This window comes from Homo sapiens, chromosome 6, assembly GCF_000001405.40.
Source record: "Homo sapiens chromosome 6, GRCh38.p14 Primary Assembly".
Classification (NCBI taxonomy): Eukaryota; Metazoa; Chordata; class Mammalia; order Primates; family Hominidae; genus Homo; species Homo sapiens.
Genome location: NC_000006.12, coordinates 28,959,607 through 28,977,474, shown reverse-complemented (window position 1 = coordinate 28,977,474; position 17,868 = coordinate 28,959,607). Strand labels below are relative to the sequence as shown.

The 17,868-nt window shown below is 44.3% G+C and overlaps 1 pseudogene, besides 2 other annotated features; it reads left to right on the top strand.

Annotated features, from left to right (window-relative positions):
* KRT18P1 (keratin 18 pseudogene 1) lies at positions 7,008 to 8,403 on the top strand (annotated as a pseudogene).
* Positions 8,554 to 8,738: a silencer, noted in NCBI's record as "fragment chr6:28936514-28936698 (GRCh37/hg19 assembly coordinates)". NCBI's record gives its function as "represses an EF-1alpha promoter that drives an FKBP-Casp9 reporter gene in an ReSE screen in HepG2 liver carcinoma cells {active_cell/tissue: HepG2}" and the evidence as "EXISTENCE:reporter gene assay evidence [ECO:0000049][PMID:32094911]".
* Positions 15,446 to 16,645: an enhancer, noted in NCBI's record as "BRD4-independent group 4 enhancer chr6:28928607-28929806 (GRCh37/hg19 assembly coordinates)". NCBI's record gives its function as "activates an origin of replication core promoter dependent on BRD2, P300/CBP, MED14 and CDK7 cofactors, and independent of BRD4, by STARR-seq in HCT116 cells {active_cell/tissue: HCT116}" and the evidence as "EXISTENCE:reporter gene assay evidence [ECO:0000049][PMID:35650434]".

Here is a 17,868-nt window from a genome sequence, read left to right as displayed (position 1 = left end):
GCTTGGTTTGGTGGCACCGCGGTCTTGGAGGCTGCAACTGCCGACTGCGTGTGCTGGGAGGCGGGATCCGTGCAGCGGTTTCCTCGCCGCCCAGCCGGCTGCCGCTCCAGATTGCCAGAAGTGCCTGATAGAACTAGCTGAAGAGACCGCAGAAAGCACTGGCAGAGAGATGAATGAGCATCCCTTACTATGTTGTCCTCGGAACCTTTACAAAAAGGTCAATTAAACAAACAGCTGTAAATTTAATAAGGGAAAGAGTGAAGGACTGTGTTGAGTGGGTTTCACAGACTTCAATACGTATATGAAATCACCTGGGGAGCTTGCTAAAATGAAGAGTTCTAACGCTGTAGGTGTAGGATGGGGTGTAGATATTCTGCATTTGTGAGAAACTCCCAGGTTAGGTCAGTGTTGCTGATCAGCAGCCCACGCTGCAAGTGACAAGGTTGTTGATGCTTTTGGACCTGATGGTTCTACAAGTTCTTGTCACATCATTATAATATTAGAACATGAAAAGAAAAGAAAGAAAGAAAGAAAGAGAGAGAAAGAAAGAGAAAGAGAGAGAAAGAAAGAGAGAGAGAAAGAAGAGAGAGAAAGAGAAAGAAAGGAAGAAAGAAAGAAAGGAAAGAAACAGAGAAAGAAAGAAAGGAAAGAAAGAAAACCACAGTTCCAGCCTCACAAGTGACTCTAGACATTTTCTTTCTTGTTTTTTAGCTCTTGTCCTCACGCATACATAATTTTTTCCATGGTGGAAGCCATGACATTTGTACGATTTCATGTTGGGTGCATTTCCACCTTGTGTAAGTGGTAAATATGTACAGATAATTGTTCAATCACTCCTTCTGTCAGCCAACATTAACTGAGACCCTTTTCTGTGCCATATACAGTAGGTCTACCTGGGGAATCTGAGAGTACAAAATGCACTCCTCTAAGGAGCTTATGGCCTGTTAAAGAATAGAAGACGGCCGGGCCTGGTGGCTTACGCCTGTAATCCCAGCACTTTGGGAGGCCGAGGCAGGCAGATCACGAGGTCAGGAGATGGAGACCATCCTGGCTAACATGGTGAAAACCTGTGTCTACTAAAAATACAAAAAATTAGCCGGGCGTGGTGGTGGGCACCTGTAGTCCCAGCTACTCGGGAGGCTGAAGCAGGAGAATGGTGGGAACCCGGGAAGCGGAGCTTCCAGTAAGCCGAGGTCGCGCCACTGCACTCCAGCCTGGGCGACGGAGTGAGGCTCCGTCTCAAAAAAGTAAATAAATAAATAAATAAATAAATAAATAAATTTTAAAAAAGAATAGAGACAAGTAAATCAGTGAGAGTGAAGATTTACTCCTAAGTTCTTCCATAGGTGTAAGGGCAGGGTACTGTGTACAAGATCACCAATACAGGCACCTAATCTGAACAAGAATGGCTTACTGGATGAGGTGCTACCTGAAATATGTCTTAAAGATAAGCTATAATTAGGCACATAAAGAAGGGCATGGAAAAATTTTTACCATCAAGTCCTGACAGAAGCAAAGCTAAAAAGGTATGAATGCCTGGGAAAATTACTAGTTCCTAGTTCAAGTAGACCTGAGCAGAAAATCAAAGGTTCATGGACCAAAGTAAAAAGATGAAGCAGTGGCTGAGGCCTGTAGTCCCAGCACTTTGGGAGGCCAAGGCAGGAGGATTACCTGAGGTCAGGAGTTCAAGACCAGCCTTGGCAACTTGGTGAGACCCCCCGCCACCGACACACACTAAAAATACAAAAATTAGCCAGGTGTGGTGGCACACACCTATAATCCCAGCTACTTGAGAGGCTGAGGCATGAGAATCGCTTGAACCCTGGAGGCAGAGGTTGCAGTGAGCTGAGATTGTGCCACTGCACTCCAGCTTGGGTGACAGAGTGAGACTCCATCTGAAAAAAACAAAAAAAAAGGATAAAGATGAGGCTACAAAGGAAAAAATCGTTACTTTGTGTAGTATACAGTCTCCAAAAACTGACCTCAATGCAGCATATTTTTCGGTCGTTACACCCTTTTGTAGTCCATTCCCACAGTGAATCTTGGCTGACCTAACAAAATTATTTCATTGAGGTGATACTGTGCCAGTTCCAGGGCTAAGCCATGTGAAATCTTGCACCTTCTGACTTGGTTTTCTGGAATGCTAAATCTTGGGATGCTCCCTCTCAGAATCCAGTCACCATGCCATGAGAAACCCAAGCCACATGAAAAGGCCATGGCTAGGCACTGTGGGTCACAGTCTCAACTGACTGAGGTCCTAGCAACATCAACTGCCACTGCCAGTTATGTGAGTGAGCCATCTTGAACATCCCTAGCTCAATCAAGCCTTCAGAGGAATGGAGTCCTTACTGACATCATGTGGAGCAGAATCACCCAGGTAAGCCCAGTCTATTCACAGAATTGTAAGAAATAGTAAAACGGCTGGCATTTCAAGACATGTGTTAGTTTTCTATTGCTGTCATAACACATTACCACAAATGTAGTGGTTATAAAAAACATAAATTTATTATTTAGAGTTTTTTAAGACAGAAGTCTGGTATGGTCTCACTGTGCTAAAATCAAGGTATTGGCAGGCTGCATTCCTTTCTGTTGGCCCCAAGGGAGAATCTGTTTTCTGCTCATTCAGATTATTGGCAAAATTCAGTTGTTTGCAGTTGTTGGATCAAAGTCTCTGTTTTATTGCTGCCTGTAAGCTAATGGCCACTCCCAGCTTCTAAAGGCTGCTGTGTTGCTGGGCTCTTTAAAACCAGCAATGGTGGATGGCGTCCTCAGATCACACCTCCCTGAACTACTCTTCTGCTTCCTCTTTCCACTTTTAAGACTCTAGTGATTAGGATCATCTCTCCATCACAAGTTCCCTAACCTTAATCACATCTCAAAGTCCCTTTGCCATGTAAGTTAACATATTTACAGTTTCCAAGGGTTAGAAGGGGCATATTTTTGGGTGGAAATAGCATTATTCTGTCTATCACTCCATTTGGAATTGTCTCTTGTATATTGGTAGGAAGTAAGAACAAACTGTGAGCCGTATCTTGACAATACTAAATACTTTGAGCTTTCCCTAAAAGGCTATGGAGAGACAGAAAAGTGTTCTGAACAGAGAGGTCAGTATGACGGGTATTTTTGCAAGCTCTTCTTGCCAGTTCTGTGGAAGCAGAGCCACAGCTAGCACACAGAGTGCCTTTGGGCAAATAATGCAACAGTAAGGCTGGGCGCAGTGGCTCAGGCCTCTAATCCCAGCAGTTTGGGAGGCCCAGGTGGGCGGATCACCCAAGGTCGGAAGTTCGAGACCAGCCTGGCCAACATGGTGAAACCCCATCTCTACTAAAAATACATGGTGGCGCATGCCTGTAATCCCAGCTACTCGGGAGGCTGAGGCAGGAGAATGGCTTGAACCCAGGAAGCAGAGACAACGGTGAGCCAAGATCCCACCACTGCACTCCAGCCTGGGAAACACAGTGAGACTCTGTGTCAAAAAAATAATAATAAAATAAAAAAAAAATGCCACAGTAAGCCATTTTGGTGGATGAATTACAGAAAGACAACCCTCAGGGCTGATGAAGCATAGAAAAGGGAAAATGTCAAAAGTCCTCTCTCCAGGACTCTTAGCTCTCAGTGCTCAGGTCATATTTCAGCCCCCATTCACCTTCTCTGGAAATCTTTTTTTGTAGGGCACCAGTGGGACTCCCTGTATAGAGAAACAATGGGAGACAAGCAGGGCTAGAAGCAAATCAACCAAACTGGAGGCTGTTGCAGTAATCCAGGAAAGATACAGAAAGAGGAGAAGGAAGAGGAGGGAAAAAGTCTCATGTAAAACGGTGGTGGTAATCTTGTATTAGAATAAAGGAAACAGACTCAGAAGAACTGAAGACACAGAATTCATAAGATGTGGGAAGTACGGGGCCGGGCGCTGTGCCTCACGCCTGTATGTAATCCCAGCACTTTGGGAGGCCGAGGTGGGCAGATCACAAGGTCGGGAGATTGAGACCATCCTGGCCTACATGCTGAAACCCCGTCCCTGCTAAAAATACAAAAATTAGCTGAGCATGGTGGCCGGCACCTGTAGTCCCGGCTACTCGAGAGACTGAGATAGGAGAATAGCTTGAACCCGGGAGGCGGAGCTTGCAGTGAGCCGAGATCGGGCCACTGCACTCCAGCCTGGGCGACAGAGCGAGAGACTCCATCTCAAAAAAACAAAACAAAACAAAACAAACAAACAAAAACAACTCAGAGCTAGACAAAATTACACTCCCTCAGGCTGAGTGCGGTGGCTCAAGCCTGTAATCCCAGCACTTTGGGAGGCCGAGGTGGGCGGATCACGAGGTCAGGAGATGGAGACCATCCTGGCTAATATGGTGAAATGCCGTCTCTACTAAAAATACAAAAAATTAGCCGGGCGTGGTGGCGGGCGCCTGTAGTCCCAGCTACTCGGGAGGCTGAGGCAGGAGAATGGCATGAACCCGGGAAGCGGAGCTTGCAGTGAGCCGAGATCAGGCCACTGCACTCCAGCCTGGGCGACAGAGCGAGAGACACCGCCTCAAAAAAAACAAAACAAACAAACAAAAAAACAACTCAGAACTAGACAAAATTACACTCCCTTAGGGCGGGTATGGTGGCTCACGCCTGTAATCCCAGCACTTTGGGAGGCCGAGGCAGGCAGATCACGAGGTCAGGAGATCGAGACCATCCTGACTAATATGGTGAAACCCCATCTCTACTAAAAATACAAAAAATTAGCCGGGCATGGTGGCGGGCGCCTGTAGTCCCAGCTACTCGGGAGGCTGAGGCAGGAGAATGGCGTGAACCCGGGAAGCGGAGCTTGCAGTGAGCCGAGATCGCGCCACTGCACTCCAGCCTGGGCAACAGAGCGAGAGACTCCGTCTCAAAAAAAAAAAAAAAAGGTCATAAGATGTGGGAAGTAAAAGAGAGGAAAAGATTGAAAAGGATGCAGATGTGATGATGCTAGTCGCCTGCCATCAGAAGCAGCAAGTCTTCTCCAAGATGATACTTTTCTTCTGAAGACGTGAGATTTGAAAAAATAAGAAAACAAAAGAATAACGAACTTTGAGTCTGATGCCTTAACACAGTATTTCATTCAGATGAAGAAATGCTATTGCATGCTAGCCGGGTGCGGTGGCTCACGCCTGTAATCCCAGCACTTTGGGAGACCGAGGCGGGCGGATCACGAGGTCAGGAGATCAAGACCATCCTGGCTAACACGGTGAAACCTGGTCTCTACTAAAAGTACAAAAAATTAGCCGGGCGTGGTGGTGGGCGCCTGTAGTCCCAGCTACTTGGGAGGCTGAGGCAGGAGAACGGCGTGAACCCGGGAGGCGGAGCTTGCAGTGAGCCGAGATCGCGCCACCGCACTCCAGCCTGGGCGACAGAGCAAGACTCCATCTCAAAAACAAAACAAAACAAAACAAAACAAAGAAATGCTATTGCATGCTAAAATGTTTTGAAGTTACCAGAGTCAGCAAGACTGAATTTGGAGCCCAGTGAAAAGAAGCCTACAAAGCTGATGGGGGTGCTTGATAGTAATCCTCTCCTTAACATGCTCAAAAAGAATTGACTCTGTATTTAGAAATCTCACAAATTGAGGAGGAAAGAGGAAGGAGAATGAGGAGAAAAGGGAAGATTTAAAAAAGGATAAGAAAATAATAGCACAAATATATATATATGTACACATATGTGTGTGTGTGTGTGTATATGTATATATATATATATATATATTTTTTTTTTTTTAGACAGAGTCTTGCTCTGTTGCCCAGGCTGGAGTGCAGTGGGGCGATCTTGGCTCACTTCAACTTCCACCACCTAATTTTTGTATTTTCAGTAGAGACGGAGTCGGGGGTGGGGGGAGGGTCTCACCATTTTGGCCAGGCTGGTCTTGAACGCCTGATCTCAAGTGATCTGCCTGCCTCAGCCTCCCAAAGCGCTGGGATTACAGGTGTCAGCCACTGTGCCCAGCCTAATTTTTTGTGTTTTTAGTAGAGATGGATTTTCACCGCTTTGGCCACTCTGGTCTGGAACTCCTGACGCCGAGTGATCCACCCATCTCAGCCTCCCAAAGTGCTGGGATTACAGGCATGAGCCGTCATGCCCAACCACGAGTATATTTCGACATAAAATCTAAGATAGTCTTTTTGTAGAAAGAAATATGCTCACTTTCCTTAATTTGAGAACTATGATTTCTTCCTGCTTTAAAAATCATGGTTTCAGTAAATGTGCCTGCATTATTCTGTCAAAAGCCAGCTTCTATGACTTCTCACCTTTTCCAGGTATATATGAAACTCGTGAGAAACAAATCTTACTCATGGTGTCTTCCTTCCCTTTCTGTATAGTGGATACACCAAAGAGCTTCCCAAACCTTGTCTAGTAAATGGGTTTCAGGTGTGCAGGGGGACATGCATTCCCTCAGCCATTAGTCTCCCCCAGGTCCTTGACTTTTTCATTTCTAAATATCCCATTCTGTTTTTCAAACTTTTTTAGTGGAACCCATAATAAAAAATATAAGTATAGGTTACAACACAACTCTTATTTATTTGCAATGCACTGGGACATTTTGCATTCCATTCTCTTTCACTAAAATCAAAATTCTACTCATGATCCACTCAATTAACTTCATGTGCCACAAGGGTGTCACAATATACATTTTGAAAAACACACTACCCTTGACCTTGACATTAACCTAAACTGCAGGCACCAAGCCCAAGATGTAAATTTCAATCATCTCTTATACTGATTATCACCTTCTGTTTTTTCAGCTTATTTTCTTTTGCCCAGTGGAAAATTATTTAATGCATCTCCTTTCTCCTTACATCTTTACTTCCCTCTTTACACAACTTAAATTTCATGATTAATTATCAGCATTAGTAGCTTACAAAACCTTTGTCTCACTCACAATCATTGGTCATGTAATCACCAGACAGGTTCTTCCTGCCCCCACCCTGCACAGACAAAATCATTTCACTGAGACTGTGGTATTGCGTTTAAGAGTTTAATTGGTCGTCAGCAAAGCCTGAGTCCTGTCCTCTCGCTCTCCTCCCCGGACAGCAAGAGCTTCACCACTCGCTCCACCTTCTCCACCAACTACCGGTCCCTGGGCTCTGTCCAGGCGCCCAGCTACGGTTCCCAGCCAGTCTGCAGCGCGGCCAGCGTCTATGCAGGCGCCGGGGGCTCTGGTTCCCGGATCTCCGCGTCCCCCTCCACCAGCTTCTGGGGCGGCATGGGGTCTGGAGGCCTGGCGGCAGGGATGGCTGGGGTTCTGGCAGGAATGGGAGGCATCCAGAACGAGAAGGAGACCATGCAAAGCCTGAAGGACCGCCTGGCCTCCTACCTGGACAGAGTGAGAAGCATGGAGACCAAGAACCGGAAGCTGGAGAGCAAAATCCGGGAGCACCTGGAGAAGAAGGGACGCCAGGTCGGAGACTGGACAAATTACTTCAAGACCATGGAGGACCTGGGGGCTCAGATCAAATACTGTGGACAATGCCCGCATCGTTCTGCAGATTGACAATGCCCGACTTGCTGCTGTTGACTTCAGAGTCGAGTGTGAGACAGAGCTGGCCATGCGCTAGTCTGTGGAGAGCGACATCCATGGGTTCCGCAAGGTCATTGATGATACCAATGTCACTCGGCTGCAGCTGGAGACAGAGATCGAGGCTCTCAAGGAGGAGCTGCTCTTCCTGAAGAAGAACCAAGAAGAGGAAGTAAAAGGCCTACAAGCCCAGATTGCCATCTCTGGGTTGACCGTGGAGGTAGATGTCCCCAAATCTCAGGACCTCGCCAAGATCATGGCAGACATCTGGGCCCAATAAGACGAGCTGTCTTGGAAGAACCGAGAGGAGCTAGACAAGCACTGGCCTCAGCAGATTGAGAGTGCACCACAGTGGTCACCATGCAGTCCATCGGTGTTGGAGCTGCTGAGATGACGCTCACGGAGCAGAGATATACAGTCCAGTCCTTGGAGATCGACCTGGACTCCATGAGAAATCTGAAGGCCAGCTTGGAGAACAGCTTGAGGGAGGTGGAGGCCCGCTATGTCCTGCAGATGGAGCAGCTCAGCGGAATCCTGCTGCACCTGGAGTCAGAGCTGACACAGACCGGGGCAGACGGATAGCGCCAGGCCCAGGAGTGCGAGGCCCTGCTGAACATCAAGGTAAAGCTGGAGGCTGAGATCGCCACCTACCGCCGCCTGCTGGAAGATGGCGAGGACTTCAGCCTTCGTGATGCCCTGGACAGCAGCAACTCCATGCAAACCATCCGAAAGACCACCACCCGCCCGATAGTGAGTGGATGGCAAAGTGGTGTCTGAGACCAAGGACACCAAAGTTCTGAGACATCAAGTTGGCAAAAGCAGGGTACCCTCTGGGGCGCAGGAGACCAATAGGAAGTTCGGAGGTAAAAAACAAACAAACAAACAAACAAAAAAACCAGTTTAATTAACACAAGGCCAGCCACGTGGAAGATGGAGTTATTGCTTAAATCAGTCTTCCTGAAGGTTTAGAAGTTAGGGTTTTTCAAGGATAGTTTGGTGGGCAGGGAACAAAGGAATGAGTGCTGCTGATTGGTTGGGGATGCAATCACAGGGGTGTGGAAAACGGTCCTCATGTGCTGAGTTCACCTCTCGTGGAGGGTTGGAGGGAGGTATAGGATCAGTTGAGTTGTGAGTCCCAAATCCAGGTGGGGTCAGTCGGTTGGTAGAATACAAAAGTCTGAAAAGCATCTTTAAGACCAATCTTAGGATCTATATAGTGATGTTATCTATAGGAACAACTGGAGAAGTCACAGATCATGTGACCTCTGACCACATGACTCCTGAGCCGTAAGGGATTATAGAAACTATACCTACATTTTAGCAGAATTCAGGCCCCTTTCAGAATCCTAATTTTATGGTCTTTCATTTGTCTTACAAAGGCAGTTTTAGCACCCCAAACAAGGAGGGATATTATCATCTTTGCTTCCAACTTAAACTATAAACTAAATTCCTCCAATGGTTAGCTTGGCCTACACCTAAGAATGAGTGAGGATGATCAGCCTGTGAAGGTAGAAAGAAGCAAGATGGAGTGAGCCATGTTAGATTTCTCTCACTGTGATAATCTTTGCAAAGGCGTATCTGAATATGAATAGGTGAATGAATAGAGAATACTCCTAACTGCGCTCCTTTCTTTGTCACACTCTAAACCAAGGTTTCCTCCCCTCCATTCCACTGAAACTTCCTTGTCAAATCCCAGCAACCTCCATCTTGCTAGATCCAATGGTTAGTTTTCTTTTTCATAATTAACTAATTTATTTATTTATGAATTTTTCCATAAGTTATTGGGGAACAGGTGGCGTTTGGTTACACGAGTAAGTTCTTTAGTGGTGATTTGTGAGATTTTGGTGCACCCATCACCCGAGAAGTATACACTGCACCCTATTTGTAGTATTTTATTCCTCACTCTCCTCCCACCCTTCCCCCAAAGTCCATTGTATCATTCTTATGCCTTTGCATCCTCATAGCTTATTGGTGAGAACATATCATGTTTCGTTTTCCATTCCTAAATTACTTCACTTAAAATAATAGTCTCCAAGGTCAGGCACAGTGGCCCACACCTGTAATCCCAGCACTTTGGGAGACCGAGGCAGGCAGATCACCTGAGGTCAGCAGTTCAAACCCAGCTTGGCCAACAAGGTGAAACCCTGTATCTACTAAAATACAAAAATTAGCCATTCATAGTGTTAGGCGCCTGTAATTCCAGCTACTTGGGAGGCTGAGGCAGGAGAATCACTTGAACCCAGGAGGCAGAGGTTGCAGCAAGCCGAGATCATGCCACTGCACTTGAGCCTGGGGACAGAGACAGACTCCGTCTCAAAAAAAAAAAAAAAAAAAAAAAAAAAAGAAGAATAGTCTCCAATCCCATTCAGGTCATTGCAAATGCCATTAATTCATTCCTTTTTATTGCTAAGTAGTATTCCATTGTATATATATACCACAGTTTCTTTATCCACTCATTGATTGACAGGCATTTGAGTTGGCTCCACAATTTTGCAATTGTGAATTGTGCTGCTATAAACATGCATGTTCAAGTATCTTTTTTGTTTAATGACTTTTTTTCCTCTAGGTAGATACCCAGTAGTGGGATTACTGGATCAAAGGGTAGCTCTACTTTAGTTCTTTAAGAAATCTCCCCCACTGTTTTCCACAGTGGTTGTACTAGTTTACATTCCCACCAGCAGTGTAGAAGTGTTCCCTGATCACCGCATCCACACCAACATCTACTGTTTTTTGATTTTTTTGATTATGGTCATTATTGCAGGAGTAAGGTGGTATCACATTGTAGTTTTGATGTGCATTTCCCTGATCATTAGTGGTGTTGAGCATTTTTTATATGTTTGCTGGCCATTTGGATATCTTCTTTTGAGAATTGTCTATTCCTGTCCTTAGCCCACTTTTTGATGGGATTGTTTGTTTCTTTTCCCTACTGATTTGTTTGAGTTCATTGTAGATTATGGATATTAGTCTTTTGTCAGATGTATAGATTGTGAAGATTTTCTCCCACTCTGTGAGTTGTCTGTTTACTCTGCTGACTGTCCTTTGGCTGTGAAAAAGCTCTTTAGTTTAATTAAGTCCCAACTATTTATCTTTGTTTTTATTGCATTTGTTTTTGGGTTCTTAGGCATGAAATCCTTGCCTAAGCCAATGTCTAGAAGGGTTTTTCCAATGTTATCTTCCAGAATTTTTATAGTTTCAGGTCTTAGATTTAAGTCCTTAATCCATCTTGAGTTGATTTTTGTATAAGGTGAGAGATGAGGATCCAGTTTCATTCTCCTACATGTGACTAGCCAATTATCCCAGCACATTTGTTGAAAAGAGTGTCCTTTCCCCATATTATGTTTTTGTTTGCTTTGTGGAAGATCAGTTGGCTGTAAGTATTTGGGTTTATTTCTGGGATCTCTACTGTTCCATTGGTCTATGTGCCTATTTTTATACCTGTACCATGCTGTTTTGGTGACTATGGCCTTATAGTATAGTTTGAAATCAGATAATGTGATGCCTCCAGATTTGTTCTTTTTGCTTAGTCTTGCTTTGGCTATGTGGGCTCTTTTTCCATTCCATATGAATTTTAGGATTTTTTTTTCTAATTCTGTGAAGAATGATGGTGATATTTTGATGGGAATTGTATTGAATTTATAGATTGCTTTTGGCAGTTTGATCATTTTCACAATATTGATTCTACCCATGAGCAAGGGTTGTGTTTCCATTTGTTTGTGTTGTCTATGATTTCTTTCAGCAGTGTTTTGTAGTTTTACTTGTAGAGGTCTTTCTCCTCCTTGGTTAGGTATATTTCTAAGTATTTTAATTGTTTTTGCAGCTATTGTAAACGGGGTTGAGTTCTTGATTTGATTCTCCACTTGGTTGCTGTTGCTGTATAGAAGAGCTACTGATTTGCGTACATTAATTTTATATCCAGAAACTACTGAATTCTTTTATCCATTCTAGGAGCTTTCTGGAGGAGTCTTTAGGGTGTTCAAGGTAAACAATCATATCATCAACAAATAGTGACAGTTTGAGTTCCTCTTTACTGATTTGGATGCCCTTCCTTTCTCTTATCTGATTGCTCTGGCTAGGACTTTCAGTACTATGTTGAAGAGGAGTGGTGACAGTGGGTATCCTTGTTTTGTTTCAGTTCTCAGAGGGAATGCTTTCAACTTTTCCCCATTCAGATTATGTTGCATGTAGGTTTGTCATAGATGGCTTTTATTACGTTGAGGTATGTCCCTTGTATCCCGATTTTGCTAAGAATTTTAATCATAAAAGGATGCTTGATATTGTTGAATGCTTTTTCTGCATCTATTGAGATGATTGTGTAATTTTTGTTTTTAACCCTGTTTATGTGGTGTATCACATTTATTGCACACATACTTGTGTATGTTAAACCATCCCTGCATCCTGGTATGAAACCCACTTGATCAATGTGGATTATCTTTTTGATATGTTGTTGGATTCGGTTAGCTAGTATTTTGTTAAGGATTTGAGCATCTATGTTCATCAGGGATATTGGTCTGTAGTTTTCTTTTTTGGTTATGTCCTTTCCTGGTTTTGGTATTAGGGTGATACCGGCTTCATAGAATGAATTAGGGAGGGTTCCCTCATCCTCTATCTTGTGGAATAGCGTCAATAGGATTGGTACCAATTCTTCTTTGAATGTCTGGTAGAATTCTGCTGTGAATCCATCTGGTACTGAACTTCTTTTGTTGATAATGTTTTTTGTTTGTTTGTCTTTTTTAGACGGAGTCTCGCTCGGTCACCCAGGCTGGAGTGCAGTGGCATGATCTCGGCTCACTGCAGCCTCGCCTCCTGGATAATTGGGATTCTTCTGCCTCAGACTCCCAGGTAATTGGGATTACAGGGGCCCGCCACCACCACCGGCTAATTTTGTATTTTTAGTAAAGACAGAGTTTCACCATATTGGCCAGGCTGGTCTCCAACTCCTGACCTCAGGTGATCCACCCGCCTTGGCCTCCCAAAGAGATTGCAGGCATGGGTCACCATGCCTGACCTGGTAATTTTTTTTTTGTTTTTTTTTTTTTTGAGACGGAGTCTCACTCTTGTTGCCCAAGCTGGAGTGCAATGGTGTGACCTCGGCTTACTACACCTTTGCCTCCTGGGTTCAAGCGATTATGTTGCCTCAGCCTCCCAAGTAGCTGGGATTACAGGTACCCACCACCACACCCAGCTAATTTTTTGTATTTTTAGTAGAGATGGGGTTTCCCCATGTTAGCCAGGCTGGTCTCGAACTCCTGATGTCAGGTGATCCACTCACCTCAGCCTCTCAAAATTCTGGGATTACAGGCATAAGCCACCATGCCCAGCTTGGCCTGGTAATTTTGTAGTTATCATTTTAATCTCGCTGCTTGTTATTTGTCTGTTCAGTGTATCTGATTCTTCCTGATTTAAGCTAGGAGGGTTGCATCTTTCTAAGAATTTATCCATCTCTTCCAGGTTTTCTAGTTTATGTGTATAGAGGTATTCATAGCAGCCTTGAATGATCTTTTGTATTTCTGTGGTGTCAGCTGTAATATCTCCCATTTCATTTTTTATTGAAGTTATTTGGATTTTCTCTCTTCTTTTCTTGGTTAATCTTGCTAAAGGTCTATCAATTTTATCTTTTCAAAGAACCAGATTTTTGTTTTATTTATCTTTTGTATTTTTTTGTTTGTTTGTTTCAATTTCATTTAGTTCTGCTGTGATCTTGGTCATTTCCTTTCTTCTGCTGTGTTTGGGTTTGGTTTGTTCTTGTTTCTCCAGTTCCTTGAGATGTGACCTTAGGTTGTCAGTTTGTGTTCTTTCAGTCTTCTTGATGTAGGTGTTTAGGGCTATGAACTTTCCTCTTAGCACTGCCTTTGCTGTTTCCCAGAGGTTTTAATAGGTTGTCACTATTGTCGTTCAGTTCAAGGAATTTTTTAATTTCCATCTTGATTTCATTTTTGACCTAATGTTCATTCAGGAGCAGCTTATTTAATTTCTATGTATTTGCATGGTTTTGAAGGTTCCTTTTGGAGTTGATTTCCAGTTTTATTCCACTGTAGTCTGAGAGAGTGCTTCATATAATTTGAATTTTCTTAAATTTATTGAGCCTCATTTTGTGGCCTATCATATGGTCTATCTTGGAGAAAGTTTCATGTGCTGTTGAATAGAATGTGTATTCTGCAGTTGTTGAATGGAATGTTTTGTATATATCTGTTAAGTCCATTTGTTCCAAGGTATAGTTTAAATCCATTGTTTCTTTGCTGACTTTCTGTCTTGATGACCTGTCTAGTACTGTCAGTGGAGTATTGAAGTCCCTCGCTATTATTGTGTTGCCATCTATCTCATTTGTTAGGGCTATTAAGTAATTGTTTTATAAATTTGGGAGCTTCAATCATAGGTGCACACATGTTTAGGATTGTGATATTTTCTTGTTAGACAAGGCCTTTTACCATTATATAATGTCTCTCTTTGTCTTTTTTAACTGCTGTTGCTTTAAAGTTTGTTTTGTCTGATATAAGAATAGCTACGCCTGCTCAATTTTATTGTCCGTTTGAATGAAATGCCGTTTTCCTCCGCTTTTTTTTTTTTCTTTTTGAGACGGAGTATTGCACTGTCGCCCAGGCTGGAGTGCAGTGGCGCCATCTCGGCTCACTGCAAGCCCTGCCTCCTGGGTTCACGCCATTCTCCTGCCTCAGCCTCCCGAGTAGCTGGGACTACAGGTGCCCGCCACCACACCTGGCTAATTTTTTGTATTTTTAGTAGAGACGGGGGTCTCACCGTGTTAGCCAGGATGGTCTCGATCTCCTGACCTGGTGATCCACCCGCCTCGGCCTCCCAAAGTGCTGGGATTACAGGTGTGAGCCACCGCGACTGGCCAAGATTTAGAGAACCTTTTATCAGTTCTTGTAGTGGTGGCTTGGTAGTGGCAAATTCTCTCAGCATTGGTTTGTCTGAAAAAGACTATCTTTCTTTCATATAAGATGCTTAGTTTTGCAGGATACAAAATTCTTGGCTGATAATTGTTTTGTTTGAGGAGGCTGAATGTTGGGCCCCAATCCCTTCTAGCTTGTAAGGTTTCTGCTGAGAAATCTGTTGTTAATCTGAAGGTTTTCCTTTATAGGTTACCTGGTGGTTTTGTCTCACAACTCTGAAGATTCTTTCCTTTGCCTTAACTTTAGATAACTTGATGACAATGTGCCTAGGCAATGATCTTTTTTGTGATGAATTTTCCAGGTGTTTTTTGTGCTTCTTGTGTTTGGATGTCTAGGCCTCTAGCAAGACCAGGGAAGTTTTCCTCGATTATTCCCCCAAATACGTTTTCAAAACTTTTAGATTTCTCTTTTTACTCCGGAACGCCAATTATTCTTAGGTTTGGTCATTACATAATCCCAGACTTCTTGGAGGCTTTGTTCATATTTTCTTTTTCTTTTTTCTTTGTGTTTGTTGGATTGGTTTAATTCAAAGACCTTGCCTTCAAGCTCTGAATTTCCTTATTCTACTTGTTCAATTCTATTGGTGAGACTTTCCAGAGCATTTTGCATTTCTATATATGTGTCCAATGTTTCCTGAAGTTTTGATTGTTTTTTATTTATGCTATCTGCTTCATTGAATATTTCTCCCTTCACTTTTTTTTTTTTCGAGACGAAGTCTCACTGTGTTGCTCAGGCTGGAGTGCAGTGACATGATCTCAGCTCATTGCAACCTCCGCCTCCCAGGTTCAAGTGATTCTCCTGCCTCAACCTCCCAAGTAGCTGGCATTACAGGTGCACGCCACCACACCCAGGTAATTTTTGTATTTTTAGTAAAGATGGAGTTTCACCATGTTGGCCAGGCTGACCTCAAACTCCTGACCTCAAATGATCTGCCCACCTCAGCCTCCCAGGGATTACAGGTATGAACCACTGCACCTGGTCTCTCCCTTCACTTCTTGTATCATTTTTTGGATTTCTTTGTGTTGGGCTTCACCTTTCTCTGGTGCCTCTCTGATTAGCTTAGTAACTAACCTCCTGAATCCTTTTTCAGGTAAATCAGGGATTTCTTCTTGGTTTGGATCCATTACTAGTGAGCTAGTGTGATTTTTGGGGGTTGTTAAAGAGCCTTGTTTTGTCATATTACCAGAGTTGGTTTTCTGGTTCCTTCTCATTTGGGTAGGCTCTGTCAGAGGGAGGGTCTAAGGCTAAAACTGTTGTTCAGATTCTTTTGTCCCACAGGGTGTTGCCTTGATGTAGTACTCTCCCCATTTTCCTATGGATGTGGCTTCCTGAGGGTCAAGCTGTAATGATTGTTATCTCTCTTCTGGATCTAGCCACCCAGCAAGTCTACCAGGCTGTGAGCTGGTACTGGGGGTTGTCTTCACGGAGTCCTGTGATGTGAACCATCTATGGGTCTCTCAGCCTTGGATACCAGCATCTGTTCCAGTGGAGGTGGCAGGGTGTGAAATGGACTCCGTGACGGTTCTTAGCTTTGGTGGTTTAATGCTCTATTTTTGTGCTGGTTGGCCTCCTGTTGGTAGGTGGCACTTTCCAGAGAACATCAACTGTGGTAGTATGGAGATGAACCAGCGGTAGGCAGGGCCCTAGAACTCCCAAGGGTATATGCCCTTTGTGTTCAGTTATCAGGGTGGGTAAAGAAGGACCATCAGGTGAGGGCAGGGCTAGGCGTGTCTGAGTTCAGACTCTCCTTGGGTGGGTCTTGCTGCGGTTGCTGTGGAGGAGGGGAGGTTCCCAGGTCAATGGAGTTATGTACCTAGAAGGATTTTGGCTGCCTCTGCTGAGTCATGTAGGTTGTCAGGGAAGTGGGGGAGAGCCAGCAGTCACAGGCTTCACCCAGCTCCCATGCAATCTGAAGGGCCAGTCTCACTCCCACTGTGCCTCCCCTAACAGCACCAAATCTGTTTCCAGGCAGTGGGCAAGAAGAGTTGAGAATTTGCCCCAGGCTACCCGCCTCCCAGCTGTGAAAGAAAGTAGGGTTTTAGTTCTTCCCCTACCTGTGGAGTCTGCATGCTGGATTCATGCCCTCCCCCAAGTTCTGGCCATGAGGTTTCTTGACTAGTTCAAATTGTTACAAAGCTCAGCTGGAGGTTTCCTTCTTCCTGTGCCATTTTCCCTGTGCCTCTGGCTGCCCTCCCAAAGGATCCCTGTGATGCCAGCAGGAGTGGCCTACTTGGGGACCCAGCAAGCTCACAGGGCCTGTCCAATTGATTCCTCTACCCCTGTATTTCCCTTGGCTCTCTAAATTGACTCAGCTCCAGATAAATTCAGAATCTTCTCCCGTAAAGTAGACCTTCAGTTTCCCCAGTGGGGGTGTGTGCTCGGGGGCGGAGGATCTCCCTTTCTCACTTCCACAGTTTGGGCACTCACAGTATTTGAGGTGTCTCCCAGGTCCTACAGGAGCAATCTGCTTCCTTCAGAGGGTCCGTGGGTCCTCTCGGGTTTCCGGATTTATTCCTGAAGTCGTTCTGGAGTTAAAATTCATGATGAGGGCCTCCACACGCTGCTCCGTCCATTGAAGTAAGAGGTGCAATCTAGTCCTGTCTCCCGTCTGCCATAATGTTCCCAATGCTCTCCCAATGTTCAATTTTCAGGCTTCAATTTGCTCAGCCTCTCAATGTCATTTGGCCCAGTTGATATTCCCCCTTCATGAAAACACATTCCGACCAGGCGCAGTGGCTCACGCCTGTAATCCCAGCTCTTTGGGAGGCCGAAGCAGGTGGATCACGAGGTCAGGAGATCGAGTCCATCCTGGCTAACACGGTGAAACCCCGTCTCTACTAAAAATACAAAAAAATTAGCCAGGTGTGGTGGCGGGCGCCTGTAGTCCCAGCTACTTGGGAGGCTGAGGCAGGAGAATGGCGTGAACCCGGGAGGCGGAGCTTGCAGTGAGCCAAGATGGCTCCACTGCACTCCAGCCTGGGCAACAGAGCAAGACTCCATCTCAAAATAAATAAATAAATAAATAAATAATAAAAATAAATTTAAAAAAAAACAACATGTTCCTCATTAGACCCCTGAGGGTCTTCTTTCACAAATATTAAATCCTTGAATGTTAATGAAAGACCTCAAGTATACCAGCCTCAAGTTTATGAGATGACCTCTTTTAATCTTTTTTCACAGCAGAAAGGAAATAATAACTTCCTTCAGTGTTGCTAAAATTGTTTTATTATTCAGGCAGAAGCAGTTTCATGACCCAAAGAATAAGTATCTGAAAAGAAGGAAAAGCCATTGGCAATCATCCTGTTACCTCCAATCACCTATAAACCATTATTATCTATCAAACCATCCATTTTTATCTGTTAAGCCAGACGTTGTCCTTGAAGCTCACTGAGACCTCTTAATTCTTTATTCTTTTCATAA